This window comes from Homo sapiens, chromosome 11, assembly GCF_000001405.40.
Source record: "Homo sapiens chromosome 11, GRCh38.p14 Primary Assembly".
NCBI classification, from domain to species: Eukaryota; Metazoa; Chordata; class Mammalia; order Primates; family Hominidae; genus Homo; species Homo sapiens.
Window position 1 is genome coordinate 32,090,071 of NC_000011.10, and position 20,442 is coordinate 32,110,512.

General features: G+C 46.2%; 1 protein-coding gene across 1 annotated transcript, besides 3 other annotated features; it reads left to right on the forward strand.

Moving 5' to 3' along the window:
• Nucleotides 719–1,748: a silencer, noted in NCBI's record as "silent region_3220". NCBI's record gives its function as "represses an Ori minimal core promoter by ATAC-STARR-seq in GM12878 lymphoblastoid cells {active_cell/tissue: GM12878}" and the evidence as "EXISTENCE:reporter gene assay evidence [ECO:0000049][PMID:35858748]".
• Nucleotides 1,004–15,652, forward strand: RCN1 (reticulocalbin 1). The gene is made up of 6 exons (NM_002901.4): nt 1,004–1,380; nt 7,074–7,267; nt 8,280–8,458; nt 10,478–10,538; nt 13,211–13,410; nt 14,295–15,652. The coding sequence occupies exons 1-6, from the start codon at nt 1,127–1,129 to the stop codon at nt 14,400–14,402; spliced, it is 996 nt and encodes a 331-aa protein (NP_002892.1). The 5' UTR covers nt 1,004–1,126; the 3' UTR covers nt 14,403–15,652.
• Nucleotides 2,217–2,938: an enhancer, noted in NCBI's record as "OCT4-NANOG-H3K27ac hESC enhancer chr11:32113833-32114554 (GRCh37/hg19 assembly coordinates)". NCBI's record gives its function as "activates a minimal SCP1, AML or CMV promoter by ChIP-STARR-seq in naive H9 embryonic stem cells {active_cell/tissue: H9 hESC(naive)}" and the evidence as "EXISTENCE:reporter gene assay evidence [ECO:0000049][PMID:30033119]".
• Nucleotides 15,925–16,194: an enhancer, noted in NCBI's record as "active region_4562". NCBI's record gives its function as "activates an Ori minimal core promoter by ATAC-STARR-seq in GM12878 lymphoblastoid cells {active_cell/tissue: GM12878}" and the evidence as "EXISTENCE:reporter gene assay evidence [ECO:0000049][PMID:35858748]".

Sequence of the window (20,442 nt, forward strand, 5' to 3'; positions counted from 1 at the left end):
GAAGAGGATCATGGCTTTCAATGAGTGTCAAAAGGCTGAGACTGCTCGAGACCTCACCGTCCAATACGGTAGCCATTAGTCCCGTGTGGCTCTTTAAGTTTAGATTTAAATTAAAATTTCAGTGCCTCACTTACACTAAGCTACACATCAAGTGCTCAACAGCCACTACCTACAGGCCAGACCAGATAGAGGGCATTTCCATCATTGCAGAAAGTTTGATGGGACAGATATCTGTATTGGTAGCATTACCAACTGAATACAGGTAAGATTGGATCCAACTAGTGCTTTTGTAAAATGAGTTACCAACATTTAGAAATAAAACATAAAAATCTAAAATCCTGATTGATTTCATTTGGGAAACAGGACTATCTATCAGCGTGGGGCCTGCGTTCCCCTGGCAGCTGGAACGCACAGTACCGCTCCCTTTAGAGGGACTCTTGGTCATATAGAAGTTCCCCGCTTGACCCTCCTTGACGACTGACAGTACGACCCTCGTTTCTAGGGGACTTCGCCCGTCTTGGTCTCCTTCCAGGCTCGCGTTTGTAACCAGACTCCAAATTTTACTAAATGGGGTTGAATTGGGTTTGAGAGCACATCTTAGAGCAGGGTCTAGGGCTGAGATTCGGGGTCTCAGTTGGAAGTTGAGGAAGGGCAACGTCTCCTTCCTTACAGTTTTCCCGGAACTGTAGGAAGTCAGAGGGAATTTTATCCTGCACATCTGTTGCTTGACAAAGAACTTCCCAATCCTCCTCCGAGCCCTCCAGTCCCTAGCCCAGTTCGCCCGGGCCCGCCCCTAGCAACAAGATCGCGGGGAGGGGCCGAGGCGAAACACGAGCCCCGCGCCCACCACCCCAGCTGGCGACGTGGCTCCGCGGCCCCGGCTTCCCCCGGCAGCTCAGCGACCAATGGGCGCGCGAGCGGGGCCGCCCGCAGCTTCCCAGCCCGAGGCCCAGGCGCGCCCCTCTGCTCCGGCTCGGGGCGGGCACTGGCGGAGGGACTGGCCAGTCCCCTCCTCCGCGCCGGCCCCAACCCTGTCGCTGCCGCCGCGCTCCGAGTCCCCATTCCCGAGCTGCCGCTGTTGTCGCTCGCTCAGCGTCTCCCTCTCGGCCGCCCTCTCCTCGGGACGATGGCGCGCGGTGGCCGCGGCCGCCGCCTGGGGTTAGCCCTGGGGCTGCTGCTGGCGCTGGTGCTGGCGCCGCGGGTTCTGCGGGCCAAGCCCACGGTGCGCAAAGAGCGCGTGGTGCGGCCCGACTCGGAGCTGGGCGAGCGGCCCCCTGAGGACAACCAGAGCTTCCAGTACGACCACGAGGCCTTCCTGGGCAAGGAGGACTCCAAGACCTTCGACCAGCTCACCCCGGACGAGAGCAAGGAGAGGCTAGGGTGAGGCCGCGGCCAGGGCCCCGTGGGGGGCGGCGCAGGTGTCCGAGGGCCGCCTGGGCGAGAGCCACGCGGGATACCACCGCCAAAGCGAAAGCGAAATCGCGCGCGCGGCCTCGAGGATGGGGCCCTGCCCAACTCGGCGCTGGGGCTCAGGCTAACTTGCTGGAGGGCCCCGGGACCCCAGCTTGGAGATCGCCGCCGCCGCGCCCCGGCCGGGGTGGTTTCTCGCGGGGAGGCGAGAACGTGGCAGCGGCCGCGGGAGCCAGGACGGCGAGGGCCCGCCCCCTCCCCCAGGTTGCATCAGAAGGGAGGGGAGAGTGCACAAAAGAAGAGTTTGTCCACAGTGGCCTGTTAGTGCCATGAGTTCCTCCCCACTCTCTCGCAGTTTCTCTCTGATCCCCCACTCCCGGGGAGAAGGGCTTGAGACACTCGCTAAGAAAATCTCAGGGATGAACATAAATGGATAAAAGATGAAGGGGCAGGCGAGCGACAGGCTTGCTTCCTGGTCTCGGCCGCAGTGGTCTTGCCTTTTGCCTAATCGCCCTGTAAATCTATCGTAAGGAGTCTGGGCGCGGTGACTCACGCCTGTAATCCCAGCACTTTGGGAGGCCGAGGCGGGGGGAGGGGTGGGGAGATCACCTGAGGTCAGGAGTTCGAGACCAGCCTGACCAAACGGCGAAATCCCGTCTCTACTAAAAATACAAAAATTAGCCGGGCGTCGTGGCACACGCCTGTAATCCCAGCTACTTGGGAGGCTGAGGCAGGGGAATCGCTTGAACCCGGGAGGCGGAGGTAGCAGTGGGCCGAGATTGCGCCACTGCACTCCAGCCGGGGCTAGAGTGAGACTCCATCTCAAAAATAATAAAAATAAAAATAAAATAAAATCTAGTGTAGGGATACAAAAATCCGGTTGAAAAGGGACACGCAGTTTCCGATTGGAAACACGAGGGAGCAGGAATGGAAACGGTTCGCCTGAAACGTTTCTGTTGGCAGCAGATGTCTGCAGAAGCACTCAGTTCTTTGGCAACTGATTTGTTTGGGGGGCAAAAAGCTGGAGGGTTCTCTTGGTGGTGGAGGATTTTGACTTGGGCTGTTAAAGGCAGTTGAGTCAGGAACCAAACCCGGGAAACAAAACTTCGGCGCATTTTAGTACACCCTCCCCGGGTCCCCTGAGGAAACACTTGGGCACTGTGCGGAGGTATCTGGTGGTCCTTGCACAGAGGACCCAGCAGGCAGCCTGGTCCCAGATGGAGGCAGGGCTGGGGAAGAAACCAGCAGTCCTGCCTATTGGGCACCAGGTCTCAGATCTCCCTGAACCTGATTCCTGGGGGTGGAGGATCTTCATGTTCTGCCACATGAAAGAGAACACAGCCATCCCTGTGCTCCTGGGGGCCTCCAAAGGCCAAAGTGTTTCATTGGAATATGAGGATAAATTATACCTATTGTGTAGGTGCACCATTTGCCTGCTCTGATAAAAAGACCTTTGAACTTCAAAGTCACCTCCAAACAATTACCTTTTATCTTGCAGAGTACTTTCTCTTCTCAGTTAGGACTTAACAATAGGGGCCATTGATGAGTTCAGTCTATTGTATTGCTTTGAGGCACTTGGAGACTGATTTATCCTGGAGCCCTGAGTGGCAGCCACATTGTCACTGGAGAGGAGGCAGGGAGAGGTTTTGGGATTTGGAAAACTTTATAAGGTGTGGTCATGCAGCTTCCAGTTAATGCCTTCATTGTGACAGTTCAGCCTAGTAGTGAGAAAAAGTGACGGTGAAGTTGGTCTGGATTTGATCCTTGTATCAACACCTTGACTTCATTCATTTATTCATGCAACAAACATTTGAATGGCTACTGTGTACCAGGCCCCAGTTTAGATAACTGGCAGGTACAAAGATGAAACCTTATGCTCTGGGCGTCGAAGTGCTTGTAAGCAAATGTGGAGGAGAGAAGCACAGACAAACTAGCCATTATGCACAATTGCTGCAATGATGGCCTATAAAACCTACTGTGAGCACATTCAGGAGAAGGAGCCGCCAAGGCTGCAGGTTAGAGAGAGGGGATTGGGGCTGTCACCTGATCAGAGTTTGTAGGATGACTTGGAGGTTGCCAGGTGTACAGCAGGGGAAGGCCTTCCTGAAGAGAAAACAGCCCATTTCTAAAGGGTTTGAAAAGCGTTCTGGGGCATGAGGGGTGGTGAGTCTGCAAAGGGGCAGGGAAGGGAAGTGAGAGGTGAGAATGGAGGGGAAACCAAGGGCAGAGCAGGAAGGACCTTGGTGAGATGGACATGAGATGTTATCCTGTACATTGTCAAAATGTCATAATCCCCAAAACTCATTGGGAAAGTCAGGCTGGCAGGAGGGCAGTACACAGAGAACATAATCAAGGCACAGACTAGACCAGTGGCAGGGAGAGGAGGTGAATGCCAAAGGGGCTTGGTCTCTCCGGATTCCAGGAGGGGATGAATCTAGACACCAGTGGGAGGCAGAACTGGCAGCTCTTGCTCTTGACTCAATGAGGGGGAGAAGAGAGAGGTAGGAATCAAGGGGACATCCGGGTCTCTGGCCTTAGCCACCAGATGGGTGATGGATGCACCATTCACTTGTAGGTTAAATGTGGGGTAGAGGCGGGGTAGGAGGTGCTGGAAATTATGGGTCCTGTTTGGGATGGGGCTGAGTGTGAGAAGCTGCCCCTCTGTCCAAAGCTTCTGTTTCAGTGGTCCCCTCCAAGATTGGGCTGAGGAGGAATGAGTGTGGCTGGATCTAGGCAACTTTGTCACCATCACCTGTCAGTCCTGAAAATGTGACAGCTCTAAGGCCCCTAAAGACACCTGGACCAGAGGTTGCAAAGTGGGAACCCGTAGGCTGCATGCATTCATAAATATGCGACACAGTGTAAATTACTTGCCCACGTTTAAAGTTTGAATGGTTTCACATACAGACCCCCATATCTGGCTTCTCTTGACACCTTTATTCCCATGTGTCAGTCATCGTCTGCAGCAGAGTCGGCCAGCCCTATTTGGCGGCTAGCAGGGTACCTCCAAGTGGCCATAGGTCCCATCAAAAGGTTTTGCTCATTCTGTTACCTGTTGGTGTTGAGAACAAATGATGATGGAGTTGGTCTGGGTTTGCTCCTTGCATCAACACCTTAACTTCATTCATTTATTCATGCAACAAACACCCGAATGGCTACTGTGTAGCAGCTACCATCAGCCACTGATCTAGATTATTGTCTTTAGTGAGGAAAAGCATGCATTCTCTCCTTTATTCCTCACAACATTCCTTGTGAAGTAGGTGTTCAGTTTACAGATGGGGAAACTCAGAGAGTCAAGACACTTGCCCAAGATCACGCAGATAATGGGGACCAGAGGCAGGACGGGGATCCAGGTGTTCTGATGAAAGTGCTAGGCTTCATCTCCATCCTAGCTGCCTTTCCCAGGATCTCCCTTGACATTGTTAAAGAGAAGGTTAAGATCTTATTTATTCTTACAACAAATATTTATTGAGTCCCTAATATTTGTCAGGCTGAGCTATGTCCTAGATGTTTATTTGGCATAGATTAGATGCTGTCCTTTCCACAAAAGAGGATTGTAGAGTCTGATGTCATTACCCTGAGATTATGTTTCCCAGTTGGCGTTGGGTAACCCACTGGCATGTCTCCACTGTGTCCCCAGGATCAGAGCAGTGCTTGGCACATAACTGGGCTCAACACTGCACAATGTTAAAAGAATTCTGCTGTGTCTGGCTATGATTTCCTGGGGGAAGAAGCCTGAAGACACTTGAAGTTTCATGTTTTAGTCTTTTTTTTTTTTTTTAAAGACAGGGTCTTGATTTGTTGCCCAGGCTTGTTTACAGTGGTACAGTCATAGCTCACACTGCAGCCTCGACCTCCTGGGCTCAGGCAATCCTCCCACCTCAGCCTCCTGAGTAGCTGGAGCTACAGGCATGCATCACCATTCCTGGCTAATTTTTTTATTTTGAGACGGAGTCTTGCCCTGTCGCCCAGGCTGGAGTGCAGTGGCGTGATCTCGGCTCACTGCAAGCTCAGCTTCCCAGGTTCACGCCATTCTCCTGCTTCAGCCTCCCGAGTAGCTGGGACTACAGGCACCCGCCACCACACCTGGCTAATTTTTTTGTATTTTTAGTAGAGACGGGGTTTCACCGTGTTAGCCAGGATGGTCTGGATCTCCTGACCTCATGATCCACCTGCCTCGGCCTCCCAAAGTTCTGGGACCACAGGCGTGAGCCACCATGCCCGGCCATTCCTGGCTAATTTTTAAATTTTTTGTAGAGTCAGGATCTCACTATGTTGCCCAGGCTACTCTCAAACTCTTGGCCTCCTACCTCAGTCCTCCCACCTCAGCCTCCTGAAGCACTGGGATCACAGATCCAGCCTATCTTTTAGGATTGAGACCTGTTAAACTTGCAAATGAAGGGGTACTTTCAAGCTGTTGGTGATGTTTACACCTTCCTGAGAAAGAGGAGCTTGGGTTCTTGGGTTCAGGTAGGAGGTGGAGACATTGATTATTCACTCCTCCCCTTCTCGTGTACACCCTCCCCCACCTAAAAAAAAGTTATAGGAGATTTTCTCTGTCAAACTATCAAACTGATGAATTTGTTTCCCATTTTTTATTAATTAAAGATTAATTGCCACTCAGAATGTCTGTTGACAAGAAAGTTTTACCACTGAAGCTGTTAGAATTCCAGCCCAAAACAAAGAAAGAAATCTAGAGTTAGCCTGTATGACCTCCTCCCAGATAAATGGACTACAAGGGTGAAACTTTTTTAAACACTGGGGATAGCTTGGAGGTGTTTTTGAAGTTCCCCACTGGGATGCTGTCCTGGTTTGGGACCATCTGGTCTAGAGATGACAAAAGTGGGTTCCCAGCCTGAAGTTTGCTCTGGGCTAGCATTTAGGGTACCTCAGTGGAGTTCAGTGGGAAATTTGTGAAACCTAGGCCAGCTGTGGAGCTGGTATAGGAGTCTTTACCCTAAGAGCAGAGGGTTTAAGGTTCCTAGAGCGGATCAGCTGGTCAAGTTTTGTGAATAGATTCTATGATGTCAAGGCTCCTTCAGCCCTGACATTTGTGCTGTGTCCACCATCTGGTGTCTTCTTGCTTTACGTTTCAAGTCTTTGTATCCATGGTGGTGGGATTTAAAAAAAAAAATCACTTATCTTTTGATTTACATACAGTTTCCACTTTTTGCCTTGGACCTAAGCCAGAAGACATGAGTTCTCACCCCAGTTTTACCAAATACTGGCTGTGTAATCTTAGAAGTTATTCCATTTCTCTGGGCCTCAGTTTCCGTTACTCCAAAATGAGGGTGCTGGACTACAGCAGGGAAGATTAATAGGTTTCATCTTACAGATCAGCTCTGATCCGTTGATAATGGCCATCACCAGAGCACAGTGCTGAGAATTCTGAGAGCACCTCTAGGTTTATCAGGACAGAGGGGCACGATCCATTAGCAGTGTCTGCCATCAGCACTGGTTGGGGGAAAGCACATCAACCTTGGAAGGATAAACTTGAAGATTCCTTCCAGCCTCCTTGGATCATTGATTCTGTTGTAGTTGTATGTGCATTTTGGATTGTGCAGGTGTTTGATCTTTTGCTGGACCAGCATCACACAAGCCTTGATAATATAACAGCCTTGTGCCTGTGTGTGGGTTTCTTTTTTTTTTTTTTTGTACTGCAGGAAGATTGTTGATCGAATCGACAATGATGGGGATGGCTTTGTCACTACTGAGGAGCTGAAAACCTGGATCAAACGGGTGCAGAAAAGATACATCTTTGATAATGTCGCCAAAGTCTGGAAGGATTATGATAGGGACAAGGATGATAAAATTTCCTGGGAAGAATACAAACAAGCCACCTATGGTTACTACCTAGGTAAGAGGTGCTGCAGGAGCGATGACACAGTGGGGGCCCAGATCACAAGCTTTTTGTAGACTCTCTCTTCTCTTATCATATCCACTCCCTTCAGGGAGATGTCACAGCCTCCTAAGTAGAACCTGCTTGTATAACACCCTCCTCTGTAAACTCAGAATGTACTGAGTTGCTTACACTGAATGAAGTTACAGGTGGGAGGGAAGGGCTGTGAGGGCTAATAAAAAAAATCCCTTAGATTGAGACCCCATCTCAACTTCGTCTCAGATGCACACACGGAGAAGAAAGCAGAAAGGAAGTGTGTCTGTGGTATATTTTCAAAATGCTGCCTAATTCTGGATAGCAAGGATTGAGTGGGCCGGAGCAGTCAGGGAAGGCTTCCTGGTGTGGGTGGTTTGGAAACTGGAGCCTTGGAGAATGGATTTATATTTGGAGAAGGTGGGTCAACTGGAGGGGCAAAGATGCAGCAATGCATGCAGTAATGGGAAGGGTTTAGATCCAAGACAAACAAGATCGGGAGAAGGAAGGAGAAATGAGATTACAGAGGCACGGGGTGCAGACCTGCTGGGTGCATGGTGAGGTTGGCAAAGAAACAGGCCCAAGGAGAACCAAAGATGCACTCACGCGGCCAGAATCGGGGAGATCTTGAAAGCCAGGCACGGCGTTGAGACAAGATGTTTTGGGTACCAAAGAGCCTCTGTATGTTCCAGATCTAAGAATGAGATGATGAAAGTAGAGTTCTGCAAAGAGAAGTATGGCAGTAATATAGTCTAAAGCCTGCGCTCTTAACCACTTGCAGTAATTCCCCTAATATGCCATGAGGCCTAGATTATGGGGTGGCTTGAAGGGACTGATATTAGAGGCATTCTGACATAGAATGTTTTAAAGAACTCAGTAGGTCGGGACCTTTTTTCCCTATATGTACCATTTGAGCATGCAGGATGAGTGATCTGGCAGGAAACGCCTTTCTTGACCGCACGGTTTAAAAACATTTCTGCATACATACATCCTGCAGGAAACCCCGCAGAGTTTCATGATTCTTCAGATCATCACACCTTTAAAAAGATGCTGCCACGTGATGAGAGAAGATTCAAAGCTGCAGACCTCAATGGTGACCTGACAGCTACTCGGGAGGAGTTCACTGCCTTTCTGCATCCTGAAGAGTTTGAACATATGAAGGAAATTGTGGTTTTGGTAAGATAAGTGAAGAGTCTGGGCTGGGAAGAGACCAGGGAGAAAACTGCCTCCAAATCTTGTCTCTTCCAAAGAGAGAAGATTTTTCAGCCTGAAGGGAATTGGAGAAGGACTCTGAAGTAGAGTTTGTTGGAATCCCCGTCTACCCAGAAAATTAGTCAGGTCAGGCTGGCTGCTGTAACAGATAGCCCCCAGTTGTAGCCATTTAACACTAGCAAAGCTTGTTCCAGCCAGATGGACCTCCTGGGCTGTTCTCTGAGCACAGTTGGGTACCCAGTTCTCCTCTAAGCACTCCTGCTTGTGCTCTGCCATCTTGTAGCTTCAAAGTCATCCTGGCAACACCCAGCTGGCTGACAAAGGAAAAGAGAGGGAATGAGAAGATACAGTCTTTGTTTACTCTTCCGGCCAGGGAATGACACATCCCCTTCACGTATGTTCCACTGGTCCCTCCTAGATATGAAGAGGCTGGGAAATACAGTTTAGATACGTGCCTAGAAAGAGTAAATGGGGCCCAGGCACAGTGGCTCACGCCTGTAATCCCAGCACTTTGGGAGGCCGAGGCAGGCGGATCATGAGGTCAGGAGTTTGAAACCAGCCTGGCCAATATGTTGAAATGCTGTCTCTACTAAAGATACAAAAAAAATTAGCCAGGCATGGTGGCATGTGCCTGTAATCCCAGCTACTTGGGAGGCTGAGGCAGGAGAATCGCTTAAACCCAGGAGGCGGAGGTTGCAGTGAGCCGAGATCGTGCCATTGCACTCCAGCCTGGGCGACAGGGTGAGACTCCTTCTCAAAAAAAAAAAAAAGAAAGAGCAAATGGCTTAAGTGAGCAACTAGCTAGTCTCTGCCCCATTTTTCAATTTTAAGGGACTTGGAAAAAGACTCAGAAATGGAATGAATTGGATTGTTAAAACTGTATGGAAATGTAAAGTAAAAATTATGGCTGGAAGAGATGCTACCCTTAGCGGGTGGGTCTTTGGAGGGTGGGTGGATCAGGCCCTAGGCTTTGAGGAATGACTATGCTTGTAAGGCCTCAGAATGTAGTTGCTTTCCGTAGTGTCTTGTTGGGTCCCAAATGTCTTCATTTTCCATGACAATTAAATAAATGCCATCACCTGTTTTCCTGGGCAGATGCACCAACCCAGTTCCAACTGTTTCAATCCTGGGAAACAGATGGCTAGAGCTTTTGTTTACACGAGCTGTGGATGGTTTTAGTTATCCAGGTGGTGGAAGGGTCCACTCATGCTTCATCCTCCTGACTGCCATGACTGTAAGGACTGGGCAGTGGCTCCAAGAATCATTTCTCTTTACCACTCAACATTCATGTAGTGTTAGCTAATGTGGCAGAGGACAGTGCAGGTGGTGAATGATCCCGAGTAGACTACGAGCCTTTGGGAGTGGCTCTCTGCTCTCAGGTTGGCTCTTTGGTTTGACCCAGGATGCCTCTGAGTTGCTGTGCCAATGAACAGTAAACTCATTTAATTATTGACCCAATCAAAAAATACTGAATAAGAGGTCAAGTATACTAAATACAGAGCACAATACATCAAAAAGTCAGATATACTTTTATTTTTTAGTTGCCCACTGTTTCACATTTCTCTTGACACCAACTCAGTATTCATAGTCCTGTTAGCACTAGAGTCTATTCTTGTGGTCATCTAATCCAGTGGTTCTCACACTGGGTTTCTCGCATGTTCCCCAGTGGGTGTTTTGGCTGGATGGTGGAGTTAGTTGGCCTGGCAGGGCCTCCTGATATCGTCAGAGCACCTCTGGGGTTACAGGTACATCTTGCTTGCTTTGAAGAAAGCATTCTGCTCTGGAAACTGGGGTGGGGGATTAGGAACAGAAACTATTGCCTGTTTTTTACAGATAAAAAACTAGTTCCCAGGGAAGTAAGGCGATGAGCCAGAAGTCACCAAGCATTCAGCCGTAAAAGCTGGACAAATGAGGACAATAGAATTCTCAGACTTCTTAGAGCACATGGCCATCTTGCATTCTGTTTTACCTTTTGCTTCCTAGGAAACCCTGGAGGACATCGACAAGAACGGGGATGGGTTTGTGGATCAGGATGAGTATATTGGTGAGTACTGACCTAGAGTCTTGCTCAGCTGTCCTGACTGGGCCACATGACCCCACCCACACGTCTGGCTACTTTCCCCAGACGTCTCTTTTAGCAACAGCTGCAAGTCTATACGTCACTCCTGGGAGCTTCCAGCCTGCTTGTCCCATCAGCCCTAGTGATGTAGTATCAGGGAAGTATTATTAGGCCTCATTCAGTGGAGAAGAGATGAAAAGGCTGGCCCTACACAAGGCTGGCCAACAGTTGGCCCCATGACTCTGAGAGGTGCCCTTCATCACACTGCCTAGTTTTACCTTTGCAAAAGGACATTGGAGATCCCATAGATTTACAGTGAAGATAGAGGAGACAGTGTCAGGGCAAAGCCTCTAAAACTGGACTGGGTCAATGGAGCCTAGAAACTCTGAGTAGATGCAGCTGTGATTAACAGAACTGTTTATGTGTCTGAGCACTTTGCAGAAAGGCATTCTTCTTAGAAAGATAAATGCTTTACAGAGTGCACAATTGCCCAATAATATGCTCATTTTGTGCCCCTCGTTTCCCATCCTTTGGATGGGAGTCCTATAGTGTCAAATTAATGTATTTGGGTCTGAACCCACCATTGCTGGTTAGAGCCCTTCCTGGTAGCCCCAAATCCCCCCCAGCCCAACCCCCCGCTAGAAAGGACTAGAGCAGGCAACAAGGACAATTCCATTTGATCCTCACCACCTGCTATGGCACATGGCTCCAGCTGCAGGCTCCCTTCTCATGGCAGCTCTTTTCCCAAGTCTCAATAAAGTAAAAGCTGGAAAATCATTTGGTTTAGGTGTTGACCTATGAAAAGAGAAATGAAATATGTATAATTTTTGTACAGATTTTTAATCAAAGCCATTAATTACCTTTAAATGTAAAACTCAGAGCCTGAGTTGCTGTCTCTGGTTTTGTGGTTGTATTACTTTGCCATCCCAGACACGAGAACAAGTGCCTTCAGCAATGAAGAGCAGACTTTCCTCTAATCATTAGAAATTATGTTTGATCATGAGCCAAACACTGTTCCTTGTGTGTCATTGGTAACAGACAAGGTAGCTCTCGCCACAGTAATTAAAGTGATCTTGGTGGCACTACCCTGATAGAATAACATATGCTGACAGCTCCCTCATCAGAGCAAGCAGTTGAGCCTTCCTCTTGCTGGGTCCACGTGCGAGGGTCACGTTCGGAGGCGCAGACCTCTTACTGTGGCACTGGGGATGAAATGAGACTGACAGCAAAGACTGCATGATCAAAACAAACAATGTAGTGCTTTTGATTGAAAGTGTGCGCTCTGCCCAGCCCTCCGGAACTGTGCATTGAAATGGTGCAAAGTCAGAGGCAGAACTCTTTGAGTGGCTTTGCCTAAAAGAAGCATCCCATTCTTTACAGTGAATAGGGAGAGGGAGGTGGAGGCGTTGCGCTTGAAAATCGAATACCTAGTGACTCACAGGCAGAGGAAACCCAATGTATTGACTCGTCATTTCACTTCTCGGGGAGGCTTCTCTTCAAGCGGCACCAAGTGGAAAGTGTGTGGTGGGGGGTGGTAGTAGGAAGAGCACTGGAATTAGGAACCCTACCTTCACCAATTAGCTGTGTGACCCTGGGGTAATCATGTAATGGCTTCAAACCTCAGCTTCCTCATCTGTAAAATGGGGGAAAAAAAGTGAGCCCATTTTTACAGGATTCGATGAAGCTCGAATTAGCTAATACATATTACAACTCTTTCTCAAAAACAATGTAGACATGTCAGTTAGGGGTCTACCTTGTAGTCAAGGGTCTTGTCTTTTTTTTTCCTTCACTTACTACCTGCTTCATTCACCACCTGACATTTCCAAGCTCTGCTTCCGTGACAGAGAAACTGCCTGCAGGGTATCTCTCTTTTCCAAGAGCTACTGACACACACACAATGCAAAAACGTTTCCTTTTTCTTTTCCTTGCCATTTTGTACAATGGGGATAATGACCCATCTTGTAGAATTGTTATAAGGATGAAATATAATGACAAGTGAAAGCCCTTTGGAAATGATATAAACAATAGTACTAAACACAGTGGCTAAGACTCTGGGTTGAAAGCAGAGTGACCATGTTCCTGTGCAGCCTCCAGCTCATATGAGCTGTGGGTCATTGGGTAAGACTTTACCTCATTGTTTTCATCTGTAAAATGGGAATTATAACAGCACTCACTTTGTAAGGCTGTTATGTGAAAATCAAATGAAAACTGTGTGTAGAACACTTTATACAGTATCTGGACCATAGTGTTCAATGTTAGTCATTATTATTAGTTTTCGCTTATGTAGTGCCAGTTTGGGTTGTAGAGGGCTTTTACATCAAAATGGCACATTTGATCATAATAGCCCCATGATTTATAAATTATCATCTCCATTTTACAGACAAGGAAACTTCAGGCTCAGTCACTGAACTAAGTCAAAAGCCGGGATTTATCTTTTGGCTTCTAAACTCAGTTCTTTCTACTCCACCACATGGCCTTCATCATGAATAAATTACTGCATCATTATCCCCAAGAAGCTGCCTACCAGCTGTTTGAGTTAGGTCTCTGGATTGGTTGTCGCCTTTCCTAAAGCTCAGGAGGTCAAGTTTGTTTTATGGGGGTGGGGGAGGTTTACCTTCCCACTTTCCTTTGTAACCAACAATAACCTTCCCTTCTAGCGGATATGTTTTCCCATGAGGAGAATGGCCCTGAGCCAGACTGGGTTTTATCAGAACGGGAGCAGTTTAACGAATTCCGGGATCTGAACAAGGACGGGAAGTTAGACAAAGATGAGATTCGCCACTGGATCCTCCCTCAAGATTATGATCATGCACAGGCTGAGGCCAGGCATCTGGTATATGAATCAGACAAAAACAAGGTATTTCCCATTCTTCTGGAATCACTGATTGAAGGGAGACAGTTTACATAAGATCGGTTTTGTTTGCTTTTTCGGCGATAGCATTGACCCATGTGGCCATGTCTTTATTGACTTTTCCTTCTTGTCCTACAGTGGAGACCTGTAAACTTGAGCTAATACCGTGATAACCCACAGTAAAATTATTAGGCCCCAACTTTCCTGGAAAGTCAGCTGTGAGCCACAGACTTACATTAAGTCACATTTCCTAAGATTGCAGAACTTTGTGGGCAGGACACGATTTAAGAAGTATACCCCGTGTTGCCCTAGGATCAGCTTATTTATCCATTCATTGTCACCAAATACTTATCAAACATCTGTGAGGTGTCAGGAACAAGGAAGCCCATCCCATTAAAGCCCAGACATCCTCAGGCAAGCTCAGGTTTCTGGCTTTAATGCCTAGTACTTCGGTATCTATTGATAAACATCCAAATAAACAAATCAATACATTTAGAAAAATGTCCTGCCTATTCCCCACTTTGCTGATTGCCCCCAAATTCTCAGGTTATGCCAACAGTCAGTTTAGGCAGCGAGGCTGTAAGAGGAAAGTGGCATTCTTGAGGGCCTATTTTGGGAAGACCAACACTGCTTGTGGGCACAAATGGATTCTAGCTTCTGAATTACTCGGGGACTTCCCTGACACGTTAGCACGGTTTTTATAGCAAGAGGCTGTTCCGATTTGGAGTTTTGCAATGCAGTCATGGTAGATGAAGGAGGTGCCCAGTAGCTTCTGGATTACTAAATATAGTATTTTAAATGTTGTACATCAGTGAAATGACATGAACATCATACAGAACTAGTACAGTTACCAGAGCTTCCATGACAGTGCTCTTTGATCTCTTCTATAGGATGAGAAGCTAACTAAAGAGGAAATATTGGAGAACTGGAACATGTTTGTCGGAAGCCAAGCTACCAATTACGGGGAAGATCTCACAAAAAATCATGATGAGCTTTGATAGACACTCACCAGAATATGGCAGACTGTCATAGGCATTCTGTTATTGTCTTGGATTGTTGCTACAATTGTCTAATTTACAGCAGTTGTGATCCCACAAAAAGCAAGTTTATACCTCAGATTGGGGTATAAAAATTGTTTTTCGCTCAGTATTTACTGGAAAATGGACATCACTAGTCTTTCAGTAAGATTTCTCTCAAAACACGTGAAAACCTTGGTAAATTGCAATTCTTTCTGGGGATATATTGGTACAACATGACTTAAAACTTTTTTTTTTCTATTAAAACTTAAAGGGGAACAAAACTTGAAAAAGCCCTGTTCTTCAGAAGGTGAGTGGGTTGAGGGAGGCAGTAATATGAAGTGACTGCTGTGTATTTTAACTACCAGATTTTTTATATTTGCCACTGTTAAATAGTTGGAAAGGGGAAATTCTGATTAAGCGAAAGTGGTATCATCCTAGGTAAGCTTATTTCAGAACAAGTCTAATATTTCAGATTCTTTCTTTTCGACTTTATACTCTGAGTTATTACTTACTGTAAGTGGTGTATATGAAACCTCCATGCATTTTCCAGTATGGATCTGCTAATATGCACAGTAAATCCATGTCTTTGTTTGTTTTTCTATTAAAAAGCAATCAAGAAAGATAATGTGAAAAAGAAAGGAATTTAGAGGTAGGGAAAAGATGAATGTCAGACATTTGAAGAACTATAGTAAAATGATAAACACTAAATATACTTGAGAAAACTTTCTTAATATGCCAATGAGGTAGGCCTGATCTTTGAAATAGTGAATAGGAATACAATGCATTTCCTCAGTGATCACTGATTAGAATGAGTTGGTGGGATCCTTGGGAAGCCAAACGGAGCGGAGTTCTGGATCATGTCCCATCCAGTCCAGTGAATCCACGACCCGCAGACCTGTCCCCCCGCAACAGCTTATACCATGGAATGAGGACAAGGTGATACTCTGAGCTGTGGACTGAACTGGCAGACACAACCTGTACAGATTGAAATTTCACCTTGTAAGGAGGAAGTGAATGAAATAAAGGATCCCCCTAAGGATTTTCTACTGTGTCCTGTGGTGTTTGACTTCACAGATGCTATTTGTGACATTATTCATATAGCATAAAACAGTGGGGTTGGATCCCATGAATAACATTATAAAGGTTCTGGGGTTTTTTTTCATCCAATTACTAGAATGTTCAGAATAGACTCATATTTACTAATTTAATAAATGTATGTACTTAATGCCTTTACTTTTCTAGGTCATTTTAACTATAAAATCTTCCTGAAAAAGGTTGCACCTGGAAAATCTGGACTTCTTCCCTGGGCCTATGAGGCGCTGTAGGAGGAGGCCTATGGGATCTGGCCCCTACCAGCAGTAGCATCATCTCCTTACCACTGTCCCTTTCATACCGCCTATAGTCTGGCCCCAGAGACTTTCTAGTCCTCAGACACACCAAGGTCATTCCCAGGTTGGGCCCTTTGCACTTGCTGCCCCCTCACATTCAGAATACCCATCTCTCACGCCCTCGGGTAACACATGGTACTTCCTCAGGGGGGCTTTCCAGACCCCACTATTTAAAGTAATCCCAACTCGAATCTCGGTTTCACATCCCCATTTTATTTTCTTCTTGGCATGCATTACTATTTGTATTCATTTCCATGCCTTCTGTCCAAATTGCCACAAAGTGGGGGATTTACAGTGACAGAAACTTACACGGTTCTGGAGGCCAGGGTCTGAAGTCAAGGTGTCAGCAGGGCTGCTCTGCCTCTGAAGGCACTAGGGAAAATGCCTCCTTGCTTCTTCCAGCTTCTGGTGACTCCTTGGAGTTCCTTAGCTTGTGGCTACATCACTCCACTGCGTCATCTCTGCCTCTGTCTTCACAAGGCCTTCCTCTCCTTTCTCTGTGTCTCCCCTTGGTGTGTCTTTTATAAGCACACTTGTCATTTGATTTAGAGCCCACTTGGATTATCTAAGATGGTCTCATCTTGAGGTGCATAATTACATCATCCCTTTTTCCAAGTAAGATCACATTCACAGGTTCTGGGGGTTAGCAGGTGGATATATCTTTTGGTGGGGGGCCTTCATTCAAGCTAACCTACTACACCACTTGACATTATATTGTTTGGACATTGCTTGTCTCTCCCAAGCTAGAATATAAACCATGAGACCAGCAGTCTCGTTTTCTGATTTACTGCTGTTTCCCGGGACTGCGAACAGTAGAGTCTATTAGCAATAAATGCTCAGGAATTATTTGCTGAATGAATGAGAGGCTGATGGCTTTAATCAAAGGGAATATCTCTCAGGGAAAAAAATTCTGTAAAAAATATTAAAATAGCTAACAATTGCTAAATGGGAACTTTGAGCGATTTGCCCAAGATTCCACAATGATTAAATGGCAAGGCAAGACATCAACTCCAGGTGTTCCTGGCTCCAAAGTTCTCTTCCATTTAGCTTTAAGTTTTGCTGCTCCAAATCTCAAAATTTCATATGTTTTCTCTTTATTTCTTTGCTCATCCACAGCATATGATTATGTGGTAAGGAAATGAGAATAACTCCGCTTTACTAGAAATAAGCATATGGCTTTTTTTTTAAAGCAATGAGAAGCTGTTTTTTAAAAAATGAGAAAATAATATTGTGTAACCTAATTATAAGCATAACAATTTAAAAGGTGATGACATTATTTTTCACCTCCAAAAAGGAATATAGTTGATTTATTATTGTATGTAGTAAGACATTAAATATATTTGGAGCATTAACTTTTTCCTTTCAAGTCAGTGCACATTGGAAGACTAACCCTGAACGATACTAGAGCTTCTGGGGCTGAATTTAACACTAAAGAATGAAAACCTTAGCTAGGGGCAAAACTGTTAACATGGTGATTTGTAAAACCTTAGATTTCTAATAAGGTCTGACTGTTTCAAGGAAAACATATTTTGTTTCTAGGTAACATTTCAAGTCTGATTATGAACAAATGCTACAAAATTGATCTGTAATGGGAAATACTGTAATGTCACAAAGCATTATTTAATGCTTAATGTGACTGAAAGCATTAATTGCTAGGAGCCATTGTCTGTCCAAGCAAAACACAAACACACATTTTACACTCCGCGTCTCTTACTGTAGGTTTTCGAATGAATAAAAGTGTCACAAAAATGTAGTTAGAAAATCTGCCATACCTGAAGGTTTTCTTCACCTGTTTGGAATATGGTAGTTGTTCCCTTATTAGCAAATGCGTGAGTCGTATCTTCTCAGAAGTCCCCAGCAAACAGTTGCTGTGTGGCTGCTTGTTAGCAGCTCAGCTAAAATGTCTCGTGGGGTGAGGTAGTGAGTGGTTGACGGGATTTTTTTTTTTTCCTTCTAGATTTATTTTGTCACTTTCATAATGAAATCTCAGGTTTCTCCAAGAACGTGCAGTTGAGATTTGGCTGTCTCTGAAGTACTGAAATGAGTTTATAGCACTAGAATTCCCACTAAAAACCAATGAGTGGCATAACGTTCATCACTTTGGCTCACACTGAAGTATTAAAAGTCTGAGTACTGGCTGGAAACCTTGTGTCATCAGTAAACTCATGAGATTTACATGAACTTGGGGCTATTTCCAAAGAAACCATCCCCATCCTCAATTCTGGTCAGTCCCAGGGTCCATGGCTGGGGATACATACCCTAGGTGTAATGCGTCGCACCACCCCATGTGCTTTTAGTACCTCTATAATTTTTCTCATGTAAAATAGAAAATGGAGTCTGATTCTCCCACAGAAGTCCATCAAAGAAAATGGCTGTAAGGATTGGCTACCTTCTACCTCAAAGGTGTTTGTGTAGTGAGCACTTAAGCATTTCATTGCTCCTAGGATAAACACTAATAGCTCTGTACCAGGAACTATACCAAGCACATACATACATTTCTTTCTCATGTAACCCTCACAGCAGCCCTTGAGATTGGTACTTGTAGGAAAGAGGAGAAGCCAGGTTATGTTGCAGTAACAGACAATGCTAACATCTCAGTGGTTTAAAGCAACAGAGGTATAATCTTTGCTTTTGCAAAGCCAGCTGTGGCCTGGCCAGTTGTCTGTGGTGTGGGGTCTCAGCAAGATATCTCCACAAGCAACCATATCCACTGGAGACCCCACACAGGCAATCCACTGCTGCCACCTAAAAGTGGCCCCTGTCACTCATGCTCACTGACATTGGTCAGTCAAAGCAAGTCATGTGGCCACTTCTAACTTCAAGGGAGCAGGAGAGTGTGATCCTACTGCTGAAAGCACTGGTGAGCAGCATCTGTGGTTACCACAGTGGATTCCCATCTTACAAATCAGGGAACTAGAAAGGGAAGTAATGCCCAAAGCCACCCAACTCACATATGAGATGACTGTATAATTGATTGTCCAGACAAGGACACCTTTGCCAATGAAAGGGAGGAGTTTTAATCAATATCTCCCTGAATCCTGGACAACCTGCTCTGCTCACTTTGGGACTAGTAAAGACTCATTCCACTCCTTGTCTCACTATGTTCTTCCCCAAGGGTTGAGAAGTCCATGGGCCAAAAAATTTTGCCCATTCAGAGCCAGTGCCTCCTGCTTCTAGACCATGCTCCAAGTCCCCAGATGACTCCAGAACTCTCTGCCCAAATGACCCCAAGTCTCTTCCAAAGCCTGGGTCAGCCTCTTCCCCAGGTATATCTTCCAAAGGGCAGGCAACATGGTGGGTAAGCCCACCTCTAGTCCCAAAGGATGGCCAACGGGCAGCTGTTGGGGGGTGGACTTGATGTAAACCTGCAGGCTGCGGTGTTCACACACACTGCTATGGTTTGAATCTATGAATCACCCAAAATTCATTTGCTGAAACTTAAGACCCAAGGCAATGACATTGTAAACAAAAAAGTATGCGTCAGGTCTCAATCAATTTAGAAGTTTATTTTGCCAAGGTTAAGGACATGCCTGGGAGGAAAAAACAAAACAAAACACAGAATCAAAGAAACAGCCTGTGGTCTGTGCTTTTCTCCAAGGATGATTTCGAGGGCTTCAATATTTAAAGGGAGAAAGAGGCTGCAGGGGAAAGAGTGAGATAGGATATGGAAATCCACAGGTTGCAAGGAAAAAAGAGCAGGTAGGGGAATAGTGAATTATGTATTCGTCTCCTGCTCAGTAAATCGGTACTTTACATACAGTAAGGGGAATATAAAGTAGCTACCTGTGGAAATACTTAACTTTTATCGGTAGGTATCTGCTCAGGAGCAAAAGGAAAGGGAGCTTCTTGCATGACTCAGCTTTCGGCTTAACTTTCCCTTGTGGCAGAGCGAATTGGGATCCCAAGTTTTTATTTTCCTCTCACAGTATTAAGAGGTGGGGCTTTTAGGAGGTGATTAGTTCATGAGGGCAGGGCCCTCATGAATAGGATTAGTGCCTCTATAAAAGGGCTCAAGAGAACTAGCTAGGCCTCCTTTTTGCCCTTCTGCCATGTGAGGACCCAGCAACAAGGCACCATCTTGGAAGCGGGGAGAAGCCTTCACTAGATACCAAACCTACCAGGGCTCTGATCTTGCACTTTCTAGCCTACAAAGCTGTGAGAAATAAATTTCTATTCTTTATAAATGACCCAGTCTAAGGTATTTTGTTACAGCAACAAAAACAGACTAACAGACACACCTACATGGAGCCCATTGGTAGGAAGAACAATAATAGAGTGACCTCCATTTTTTATTCCCATGATGGGGCCCACAAGTATTAGGGGATGGCCTGCCATGATGCTAGGGCAACCAGGATCGTCTTGGGTAAACAGAGACATGTGGTTCCCCTACTTAGAAATGGCAGATAAGGCCGAGCGCAGTGGCTCAAGCCTGCAATCCCAGTTCTTTGGGAGGCTGAGGTGGGCAGATCATGAGGTCAGGAGTTCAAGACCAGCCTGGCCAACATGGCGAAACCCCATCTCTATTAAAGATACAAAAAATTAGCCCGGCGTGATGGTGCACACCTGCAATCCCAGCTACTCAGGAGGCTGAGGCAGGAGAATCGCTTGAACCCAGGAGGTGGAGGTTTCAG

Coding starts and splice junctions, on each gene's coding strand:
- RCN1 (NM_002901.4), top strand. CDS start 1,127: ATGGCGCGCGGTGGCCGCGGCCGCCGCCTGGGGTTAGCCCTGGGGCTG. Junction 1,381..7,073: donor GAGAGCAAGGAGAGGCTAGG/GTGAGGCCGCGG, acceptor TTTGTACTGCAG/GAAGATTGTTGATCGAATCG. Junction 13,411..14,294: donor ATGAATCAGACAAAAACAAG/GTATTTCCCATT, acceptor TCTCTTCTATAG/GATGAGAAGCTAACTAAAGA.